Source organism: Homo sapiens, chromosome 2 (genome assembly GCF_000001405.40).
Source record: "Homo sapiens chromosome 2, GRCh38.p14 Primary Assembly".
NCBI classification, from domain to species: Eukaryota; Metazoa; Chordata; class Mammalia; order Primates; family Hominidae; genus Homo; species Homo sapiens.
Window position 1 is genome coordinate 209,836,354 of NC_000002.12, and position 12,273 is coordinate 209,848,626.

The window sequence follows — 12,273 nt, forward strand, 5'->3', positions numbered from 1 at the left end:
TTTCTTTTCAAATAACACCAGCAACTATTGAGCTAATCTGATCAATGAGAATGATCGAATAGCCAAATTGGACTTAAAAAATAAAGCCATTCACTGTATATTTCTAGGTTATTAAGTTTTCTAAATTCCAAAATATTCTTTTTGTTCAGTGTTCTGTAAACACCACCTAATTTCTTAGCATTTAGCACATCTATTCTTTCTTCTTATGTGAAGATACATGTTTCAATATGCCTCTACATAAATATTTCCACTTAGAGAGATGTCATAAAATGTCAAACATGGAACTTTTTCATGATCCCAATAGGCCTAGAAGGTAAGCATGTCAAATGTCCCCTAGTTAGCACTGGAGAAAGATGGGTGGTTACTTCAGATGACACTGGCTCCTCCTCTAGCTTCTCTGTCTCTTTCCTTCCCTCCCCTTCTGGCCCTGTGTCCTCTTCCTTCTTAAATAATAGTCACATTCACTGAGTCATATTAAAGCAGTTTTATGCACTAATTTCTTTGAAACTCAATATTGATACACACCATTGGACAAAGCCGATGTAACATTTTATTGAGGAAATTGAGAAATTATAGCCTCCCCAGATGTTTTTCCAGCCAGACTACATAGTCATACACGTATCATGCCATGCATTTACCAAAAGTGAGAAATGCTTCATACCCTGTAATCATTTGGTAAAAAGTAACTGAGAAATCAAATTTTAGAAAACTGATTTAAATTCATACCATATTTGGTAAACAGAATACCCTATTTTTTAAAAAAAGAACTTAAAAATATTCAGTACTCTGATGAGATTTTAAGAAATTCTGGATACCCATATAAATATCTGTAGAAAATAATTGCTTTACACAGTACTGTCAAATTTTGGGTTGATTCAGCCCCAAAACTTGTAAGCAAATCAATAGCTAAAACCCCATAAATAAGTTTCATCAAATATTATGTATTTTCTCTACCTTGTACTTTCCAAATTACTGCAGTAATATATGTTGCTCAAGCTGACAAATGTAGAAAACACAGAAAAACATAAAGGGAAAGTAGTTTAAAAATGGAAATACCACCAACTAGAGATAACCTCTGTAAACTCTTGGTGTATTATGTTGGAGACATTTTTGAGCATGTGTGCACACAAAACCACACTCAGACATGTGGCCACATGTGTACTTTTTTCCCCCAATTAACCTGGTGATGTTCTTTTTAAACCATTTGATTGTTACCTTTTCACTTTGCAGTATATAGTGAATATTTTTCATATAATAGTCCTCTAAAATAAAATTATAATGACTACAGAGTATACCACCATATGGAAATCCCATAATCTATTCAACTGTTTCCGTGGTGTTGAACATTTAGATTGTTTCCTCCTTTTTAAAGTTGACCAATAAAAACTCAGTGAGTTTTTGACCTTCTTGTACCTACATCTTTTTTTTTTTTTTTTGAGACGGAGTCTCGCTCTTTCGCCCAGGCCAGAGTGCAGTGGCGCTATCTCGGCTCACTGCAAGCTCCTCCTCCTGGGTTCACACCATTCTCCTGCCTCAGCCTCCTGAGTAGCTGGGACTACAGGCGCCCGCCACCGCACCCTGCTAATTTTTTGTATTTTTAGTAGAGACGGGGTTTCGCCGTGTTAGCCAGAATGGTCTCGATCTCCTGACCTCATGATCCGCCTGCCTCGGCCTCCCAAAGTGCTGGGATTACAGGTGTGAGCCACTGCGCCCGGCCTTGTACCTACATCTTAGTACGTTGTCCCATAATTTCCATGAGATTACTTTCTGGAAATTGAATTTCTCTGTCAAGGGCGGTGATATAAGCTTTGGATATCGTATTGCCACATTACTTTAAAGAGAGGTTGGATCATTTTACCTCCCCACTGGGAGTATAATAGTAACCATTGTTTTCTCTCCTCCCCACCCCCCACCCCGCACCCCTCATGAACTCCCTTAATCACTGCTAATTTATTGAGTAAAAATAAAGATCTTACTTCAGCTGCCTATGTTTTTTAATTTCTGGTGAGATTAAATTCTGCATATTATTGGCCACTGGTCTTTTTCCTGTTGTGGAATGCCCTACTCAAAAATCCCCTTGCAGGTATTTCTATTTGTCCTACTGAGTTGTACTTATTTTTTACTTGCAAGCCCTACCTAAGTTTCTTTGACTTACTGGTTGTAGGATAATGCATTTCCCGGGTGTGGTGTGATGGCATTCCATGCATTTAAATATTTTTTTAAGAGTATTTGGTGTTCAAGTATGATACTATACTGGGGTGATGCGTGGGGAATGAGGAACAGTGCTGCACAAGCCTTAGGGATCTTTAATAAAAAGTTAAATATTGGCTGGGCACGGTGGCTCATGCCTGTAATCCCAGCACTTTGGCAGGCTGAGGCAGACGGATCACGAGGTCAGGAGATTGAGACCATCCTGGCTAACACGGTGAAACCCCATCTCTACTAAAAATACAAAAAATTAGCCGGGTGTGGTGGCATACGCCTGTAGTCCCAGCTACTCCGGAGGCTGAGGCAGGAGAATCACTTGAACCTGGGAGGCGGAGGTTGCAGTGAAATTGTAAGTGCTTCTGGTATTATGACTCACACCTGCAGATGAATACCTGCAATAATATTTAATGTTTTTATTAAAGTTGAAAAAACCTGACCACCTCATGTCATAGCAGAGACATGACTATTTTCAAGAAGAGCTCAGAAGATGAACCTTGATCTCTTTCCTCCCACTTCAATGCCCACTCTTCCCACATTTCAGCCCATCAAAGATCATTTTGCATGATTTGCCTAAATATCATTGACAGGAAGATGAAAGAAATTTAGGAGAATTTCTCAAGTGTTGTCAGAAGTTTAACCCTATCCTCTGCTTGCCTACAGCGATGAACAAATGCAAGGAGCCAACTTGGGGCGGAAAGATTTCTGGCGTAAGATGTTCAAGTCCCAGAGTGCAGCAAGTGACACCAGCAGCCAGTCTGAACAGGACACTTCAGAATGCACGACTGCCCACTCAGGGACCACCTCTGACCGACGTGCCCGCTCACGATCCCGCAGAATTTCCCTCCGAAAGAAGCTTAAACTCCCCATAGGTAAAAGTATGTCTGTATTTGTTTATGGATTATCTTATTACCAACCATGTCCTCAGATCAACTCAGTGATGCATAGTAGGGCCGAAAAAGAAGACCTTCAAGTCATAAGACCTAGACTGACTTCATTCATTCATTCATTTAATTTTTCCCACAGTATTTTTCAATACCCTACTATGTGCCTCTTCTGTGTGCAATCACTACACTAGCCATCAAGGATTAAATAGCAAGCAAATACACACAGCCTCCTAACTTTGCTAAACTTGTAATATAGTAGGAGCCCCAGTCATTAAAGCGGATAATCATACAACTAAGTGTAATTGCAAACTATGAATTTTATGAAGGAAATATACATAGTTCTACGAAAGCATGCAACAATGAGACCTGACCTGAATGTGGGGGAGGAGGCAGAAATCAGGGAAGGCTTCCTAGTGGTAGTGGCATTAAGATCTCCGGGATACTTGGGAGAAGGAAGGAGAGCACTCCAGGTAGCCATTATTTGCAAAGATATTAGGAGGCTGAAGGGAAGTGAAGGAACTGAAACAAGGGGACAAGTGGCGGTATGACTATAGTAGAATGATAGGGGCCAGATCAGGTTGACTCTTCATTCTAGATCCCTAGATAGCCAAGATGGGATGTTGAACAGGAGAGTAACTCAAGCAAGTAAACTTTTTGCAAAACTTCACTGCATGGAAATCATACTGGAGGGAGCATAAGTAGATAAGGGAGACCAGAAGGAAAGTTAGCTAGTAGGTGAGGTATAAGTAAATGGAAGCTTGGACTGGGTGGTGGCCATGTAGGCAGAGATAAATGAACACATTTGAGAAGTATTTAAGAGGTAAAATTCACAGGCTTTAATGAGAGATGTGAAGCTGGATAGATGATGGTTTCCTTTCAACCCAGATTCTTTTCGTCTTGGTCCCACATGCTTATGCAATTTTATAGTCTAACACTGAACATTTTTATTCAAAGCATGTACATTGAAAACAATTTGTTTTTCTATTTATACCAAGCCATGTAACTTTCATCGCTTGTTGGGCTTATGTTGACATTTCTGTTTAATTGATTGGATAGAAAATGCTACATTGATCTAAGTGATTTAACTATTAAATAGGGAACTGGCTGAAGAGATCATCCCTCTCAGGCCTGGCAGATGGTGTGGAGGACCTCCTGGACATTAGCTCTGTGGACCGACTCTCTTTCATCAGGCAAAGCTCCAAGGTAAACAGGACATAACTTGTGTAAGTGACTGTTGAAGTCGCTGATACAAACATGTGAAGGCTGAGAAATAGCAAACACCTGCAGGGGCCAAATAAGGAAAAGCTGAAGAAACTCTCCAGATGAGCTAACTTTGGAAACTTAGATAAGCAATGGAAACTAAATTGTTTAAGTAGTAGGCTATCATAGGAAGGGAAAAAGAAAAGTGTGGTCAAAAAATTATATAAAATTATAATGCAGATATAGGGATGTATATAGACATTATTTCCCAGCTATTTTTAACTTTTAACACACCTATGAAATGACTGACATCTCAAACTCCTGTCCAAGGATCTGGTAATTTTACAGTGATCCCTTTTACATATTAAGACACACATAATTCATCCTTTTCCCACTACTTTTGGCACCATGTGAACCACTGTCTGTATTGAAAAGAAGAAAGAATCTCGGGATGACCTTTTTCACTACACTCCTCCTTCGTAATACTGTGAAGCACTGGAGTAACGTAAGGTTTCTTCTGAGAGTCCACCCTGTGGTTGCTTCATGGCCTGGTCATTTGTATGCCTAATTTTCAGCATATGATAAGAGTTATGTTTCCTTTTATGTGTACAAATTATTTGCTTGCATTCTTTTGTTTTCTAATCTCACTAAAACCAGGGTTGTTTTTGTTTTGTTTTGTTCCTTGTGGGTTTTTGTTGTTGTTGTTGTTGTTTTTGTTTTGTTTTGTTTTTGATGGAGACTCGATCTGTGGCCAGGCTGGAGTGCAGTAGCACAATCTCGGCTCACTGCAACCTCCGCCTTCTGGGTTCAAATGATTCTCCTGCCTCAGCCTCCCGAGTAGCTGGGACTAGTGCGTGCCACCATGCCCAGCTAATTTTATATTTTTAGTAGAGACGGGGTTTCACCATGTTGGCCAGGATGGTCTCGATCTCTTGATCTCGTGATCCACCTGCCTCGGCCTCCCAAAGTGCTGGGATTACAGGTGTGAGCCACCACGCCCAGCCAAACCAGTTTTCTTTTATCTAGTCTGTTTTAAAAGTGATATTTTGAAATTACACAAATAATATGCAAGACTATAGCATATTTAGAAAATATATGTATCATTCCTTCCTTACCTTCTATTTGCTAAAAAACATAAGTCATGTATTTGAGTTTGTGTGGCCCATAGCTTCCTTGCTGTGCGAAAAATTTTGAGTACTGCTGAGCTAAAAGCAAGATGAAGAACATATTTTAATTCTTAGAAAGAGAAACATGTTATTACATTTTTATTATAGTACACTCTATAAATTACCTTATACTGATTCTTTCACAGAGATTTAAAGTATTCTATTTAGCTATCTTTCACTTTGGTCTGATTCTCAATTGTGGTATTTGTAAAGAATGACTATGTCTCGCTATTCATTAATTTCAGTTTGGACTTTATCAGATTTAAACTCTAAGAATATCTCAATTATTTTTATAGCACCTGATTATTTAGCTTTTAATCTGGGACCTGGTTCCTCCTTTTAGTTACAGTGATGTCTTTTTTGGCACATGGGAATGAACTACACTGATGACCAAACTAACCAGATGTGGAAGCCAGAAGAGCAAAGTAATAGTATGAAAATGAGTAAACAACTCATTTTCAAGTCAAGAGTTGATCTAACCACAAAGATTTACCTTTGAATCTTATCTCTCTACTTTCCTTTTTTTTTCTTTTTTCAGGTCAAATTCACTAGTGCTGTGAAGCTTTCTGAAGGTGGGCCAGGAAGTGGCATGGAAAATGGAAGAGATGAAGAGGAGAATTTCTTCAAGCGTCTTGGTAAATGTCATGCATCCTAAGAATTCTATTCAACTTTTATCACACAGAACAAAAACTTGATTAGATTAAGTGGTCCATTTTCTATTTTCATTGGTTTTTCATTCATTTCTTTCTCATACATGCCTTTTACCACTGTCTATAGCTTCTGTTTTTGCAATTTGATTCAACAGACATTTATGGAAGCCTTACTGTGTTCCTCACTCCATGATGGGCACTGGGTTTTCAAAGAGTAAGATCCAGCCTCTTCTGCTGTTCTATCCTTTATTAAAATCTGAGAACTTTACAAAACTTCCAGAGATCCTTTTATCCACCCACCTATCTACTTACAAATTCTGCTCAGTATATCCCTGAAAGGTGGCCAGCCACCCTCTGCACACTTCCACTGAGGGGGAGTTTATAACTTTACAAAGCAACCTGTTCTAGAGCAAGACAGCCTTAATTATTAGAGAATTTTTCCTTACATTCTGAAGACATACTTATCCACAAATTTGCTTCATTTGTCCTAGTTATGATGTCTGTACCAAGATGCACACACATACACATCACATACACTCTCACACACACATATCATGCAAGCTCCATATGTTATCCATTTCGTGTTCTCTCTTTTGATCTCACTGCTGCTAGTTAGAAACATCTTTGATTTCTTTACTTTTCCTTATGTGGAAGTGTCTCTAGATCCATCACCATTCTGATTCCTTTTTATTATGTATTTTAGTTAGATGATATGCTTTTCTACAAAATGTGGAACTTAGGATGGAATGCAATATGCCATATTTAAAATTAATTAGTATAGTAGATAGTGTAACTATTAAGCTTGAGGACTACATGAAGTATATGAACACAATTTAAAATTACATTTTCTGTTTTCATATCACATAATTGGTTTGTATTGATTAATTTTTGCTAGCTTTTTTTCACATGGATGAATATCATGGTATACTTTAATATAGCCATTATTTGTTCTTCATTTCAAAAATGATGAAAATTTATTATTTCATTAACTTAGGAGGTAGTTAAGTCACTCCCCCAGGAAGGAAATTAAGAGACAGAATCAATAATTTTGAGGAGAATCCATTTTCAATCCTTTTACACTCTTTCCACTCCTCTTTGAGATTAAAATATAAATAAATAAGCAAATGAATGAATGAATGAATGAAAAGAGAATCAAAACTAAATTGAACTCTGTCTTTTCTTCTTTGTACTATAAAGATCTGTCTGCAGAGACATGCACATTCCCCTGTTCTCACCCAAGTTGTTCATATTATTACTGAACAGGACAAATGCAAAGATGTAACTCTAAGAATACTTCTACTTGACTTTGATTAATTAATAATTTGTGGGTACAGATTTTTAGTGAACCATACAGTTAATTTTCTAGTGATCAGAGAACTTTCCCATATCACTACAGAAACATCACCAGAATTTAGCAAAACATGCCTATGATATCCTTACAACTCTATCAAAAAGAACATGACTTAGTTCAGCATAATGAAGTTACAGTGATTCCTATGATACTTCTCTTTTGAAAATGTTCCTATCTATTTAATTATCTCTTAAAGAATTTGGCGAGGGCAAACATCAAGTTTATTAGTCTCTGTGGTTTTAAGAATCTTCCTAATAACCAGGACATTTGTCATTTTCAATCCTTTTACACTCTTTCCACTCCTCACGATATTTTGGAGACAATATGTCTCACGGTCAGACGTCAGTATTATAAAGAAATTTTCTTGTGCTTTTTTGAGAATGAAGTGTGGAACTAAAGTGTGTTCTCCAGGTATGTGTCATGCTAACTGGATGTCATTTGACTGGAGCTGCAATCACATCTTTAAGTTCTCTTTATGCACTAAAGTATAACTGAGGCTTAAACTCAAAGAATGTAGGGTCTCTCACATTTGGTGAATATTTCTTCTTTTTTCAAAATTCCTTCCTTCCTTCCTTCTCTTCTCTCCTTCCTTCCTTTCCTTCTCTCTTTCTTTCTCTTTCTCTTTTCTTGCTCTTTTCTTTTCTTTCTTTCTTTCTTTCTTTCTTTCCTTCCTTCCTTCCTTCCTTCCTTCCTTCCTTCCTTCCTTCCTTCCTTCCTTCCTTCCTTCCTTCCTTCCTTTTTCTTTCCAAATCTCCTTCTTTCTTTCTTTCTTTCCTTTCTTCCTTCTTTCTTTTTGAGACAGGGTCTTCCCCTGTCACCCATGCTGGAGTGCAATGGTACAATCATAGTCCACTGCCGCCTCAAACTCCCAGGCTCAAATGATCGTCCTGCCTCAGCCTTGCAAGTAGCTAGGATTATGGACATGCACCACCATGCCCCACTAAATTTGTTTTACATTTTTTGTAGAGATGGGGGTGGGGGGATCTTGCTATGTTGCCCAGGCTGGTCTTGAACTCCTGGCCTCAAGTGATCCTCCTACCTCAGTGTCCCAAAGTGCTGGGATTACAGGCATGAACCACCATGCCTGCCCTAATATTTCTTCTTAAGTGAACTTTTTCTGTCTGCTGCGAACTGAATGTGTATATCCTCCAAAAATTTGTCTTGAAGCTCTAATCCCCAAAGTGATAGTATTTACAGGTGGAGGCTTTAGGAGGTGATTAGGTTTAGATAAGGTCATAAGGGGAGCACTTGTGATGCGATTTTAATGCCCTTCTTAAAAAAAAAAAAAAAGGAGGAGACATAAGGTCTCTCTGCATGCATACACCAAGGAAAAGCCACATGAGGACATAACCAGGAAGAGAGCCATCACCAAGAACCCGAACATGCGGACACCCTGATCTCAGACTTCCAGCCTTCAGAACCGTGAGACATAAATGTTTGTTGTTTTAAGTCACCCAGTCTATGGCATTTCATTGTAGCTGACCTGATTATGGCACTATGCTTCCCCGTTTGTAGATTTTTCTCCTTGGTGGAAAAGATAAAAGCATAATTGACTTGTTTACACTCTCCTTTTAATTCTCCTACATTCTCTTCTTATTCATGTTCCAAACACATTATCATTACCATTTCTTACAAATGTTAGTTCATTCTGGACTTTGTGTTTTTATTACCACGATTCCTACGGATTTTAGCCATTGCTTCGTATATTCTTTGTATTCCATTCACAGATTCAAAAGATCTGATATGGAATATTCATAGAGCCAGATTCTACAATGAGTTTGTGTCAACAATACCTGAAATGCAGTTTATTTTTGCATGTCTAGAAAACAAAGCCATAATATTTGAGATTGTTATCTGGAATATTTTATGTGCTTTGGGCTGGCAAGAGAATATAGCTTGTATATCACTATTCTTTGCCTATGTTCTCTTGCTTTTTAAAAATTATAAAAAAGATATTCCTTTGGAATTGCTTGCAGAAAATGAGTATCTCCAGCTTAAACAACATTATCTGCTTATCTAAGTACATTGTATTTTGCAACAACTACTGCCCTTTATTGCGCAAACATCATTCTATTTTTGAGCCTGCTTTTTTCCTTACTTCCTTTTCTGATTCCTTCCTTTCTTTCCTTCTCTCTTTTCTTTCTCTTGATTTCTTTCTTGCTCTCTCTCTTCTTTCTTTTCTTTCTTCCCTTCTTTCCTTGTTTTTCTTTCTTTCCTTTGCAATCTATGTGTATAAATGATTCGTACCCAACCATGATAGATGTGTTGTCTTTTCTCATCTAAATTATCTTAATTACAGAATTTCTTTGTTTCTTTCTTTAAAGTTGTTAAAGAGAACAAACATCAAACCTTCTTACCCTCAGTTTAAATGCAGTACTTTAACTTCACTGATTTGAGATGAAATGCCAATAGAATTTCTTTAAAATTTAAAAGTTATTCAATAAATAAAAACTGTATCTGGTGAACATGAAATAGAATTGAAATTACATTCAGAAATCAGCTTTTTCTTTTGTGTTTTCATATTCACTGAAATTATTTCATTTTAAAAATCATGTTGTCTCTATTTGAGGGAAGGTGTTTGATCAATTAAAACAATTTTTTTCAAGTAATCAACACGTTTACTGCACATCTTGTATGTTCTCAGCTGTGCCATCAACACAATGGGAAATGCTGCTTAAGGAAATACTAGATTTCATATGTCTGAAACTTTGTACCCATAAGTGTATATGATAATGATTTGCCAACTAAAAATAATATTAAAAAACAAGTAGGATATTTTTATACATCCCTTATTGGATTTAAAAGCTTATAAAAATGCATTCTACGTAAATAGAATTATAATTACACCTCAATATACACCTCAACATAAAAAATAAATATTAAACAAATGCAGCTAAAATATACTGAGGCTAAAAAAGTAATCGTTATGTCTAAGGAAGCCAAGAGGCATTCTTACATCCTAGTGTATTGCTATAAAAAATTGATTAAAAAATACATTTTGCAGCCAAATTACTTTTTGACATTTCTTTTAGTAGTACAATATGGAATGCCAGCAGGATACAATTTTATCATCAGTGTATCATTAAAAATACAGGAGAAAACCCAAGAAATATAATATGTACAATGAGGAATTATTTCTTACATTAAGTTTTTCTAACATGATCACTACCTTCAGCAGAGTATAAAAGTCTGACCTTCTTCCATATAAACATTTGGTATTTTAGAGATTACATTGTGGCATTGTGGTAAGAGTGCAGGTTTGTGCACTCTCAGTGGATCTGAATTTAAATCTTGCCTTTATAACTGTCCATTGTATAAACAGATTGGGCTACTTAACCTGTTCCTTCACCTGTTCCTTCTCTCTTTATCTCTCTGTCTCTGTCCACCACTCTCTCCTCACCAACAGACCCATACACCCCAAAAATACATTCTCTTTTAAAATAATTTTAAAAACTTATCTTATAGGGCTATGGCAAAAAATAAAGAAAATTAATTATAAAATATTTCATACAGTACTTGGGATATACTAAGTGCTCAAAAATAGTACCAAAATATATCAAAAATATATTCTTATCTATTAATGCTATATAAATACAATGCTATATAAATACAATGGAAAATGTCCATTATAATTAGCTTTTATTAATAACATGATTCTTACGTCCTGTGCTTATAGGATTCTGCTGATCTTCTGACCTGTAATAAATATATATTATTCTGTGAAGCAAAGAATATAGGTTCTTGCTGTCAGTGAATGTTTTGATGACTTCTCTCTTCATTATTTTACCTACATCCCTTAACTGCATTATTTCTGAAATTCTTGCAATTAAAATGGCATTTCTTTTAGTAGTATTGAATACAATTCTTTTGAAATTGGTAATCTTGTCAAATAAAAATTGAAGAAATTTGTGAAATACATATTCTTCATGCTTCCTTAAATAAAATGATCTCAACTGTTCTTAATAAATTTGATAAATAAGAATAACTTCATTGATCATCTATCTGGTCTTATATATTAATTCCATTACAAATTTTAGGCAGTTATTACCTAATGTATTTTAAATCTTAATTATAGCAACAAATAATAAAACAACTGGATTCACAAAAAAGAAAAATCTTATTATTTGAAATGTCTCTTTAATTCAAAGTTTAAGGGACTGTTTATACTTTTTAACAGATGAGAATCCTTTGGTATACATATTAGTATACTTTATATACTATTAAAGGGGTATATATAAATGATTAATAAAGTGACATATAGTTATAAAAAATAACAGGAATTTACCTGTTCTAGTAGCTTTGGTAATGTCCAGTGAGGAAATAGAGTAGCATTTTGAAAGGGAGCTGCTTGAAAACAAGGCTCTCCTGGAATTGTTTGTTCCTCGTCTATAGCTTTTCTTCTTTGTATCATTTGAGATTTTGTCTTTTGAATTTTTTCCACCATCAGATTCTTCTCATGGTAGTTCCTTTTGCATATGATAAAAAATATGCTATACTAACTGGAAAAAAACACTGAAGGTATTGAATTTTGAACTTTTGAATATGGAATATTTGCATCTGGAAAAGAAACATAACCATAAAGAATGAAATATAGGAAATTTCAATAATGATACTTTATCTTCTGAGCCATTTTTGAGCTTATGAAAGTGTTCAAACGTAGGCAAAAAGTAAAGAGAATGGTTCAATGGATGCAAAATATTCATCACACTTGCAAAAATAATTTAGAAATGGCCATATTTGCTTCATCTATCTTTCATGCTCTTTTAAATGTATTGTACAACAAATCACAGACATCATGTTATTTCATACTGACA

At 36.0% G+C, this 12,273-nt stretch overlaps 1 protein-coding gene across 3 annotated transcripts in view; it reads left to right on the forward strand.

Annotated features, from left to right (window-relative positions):
* Positions 1-12,273, forward strand: part of UNC80 (unc-80 subunit of NALCN channel complex) — a 227,465-nt gene that overhangs the window by 64,522 nt on the left and 150,670 nt on the right. For 2 of the 3 annotated variants that reach the window (NM_032504.2, NM_182587.4), the window contains exons 19-21: positions 2,869-3,083; positions 4,189-4,295; positions 5,997-6,093. In NM_032504.2, the coding sequence (NP_115893.1) occupies positions 2,869-3,083; positions 4,189-4,295; positions 5,997-6,093 (419 nt within the window). The remainder of the gene's footprint in view (positions 1-2,868; positions 3,084-4,188; positions 4,296-5,996; positions 6,094-12,273) is intronic. The other variant, NM_001371986.1, reaches the window with a different exon arrangement.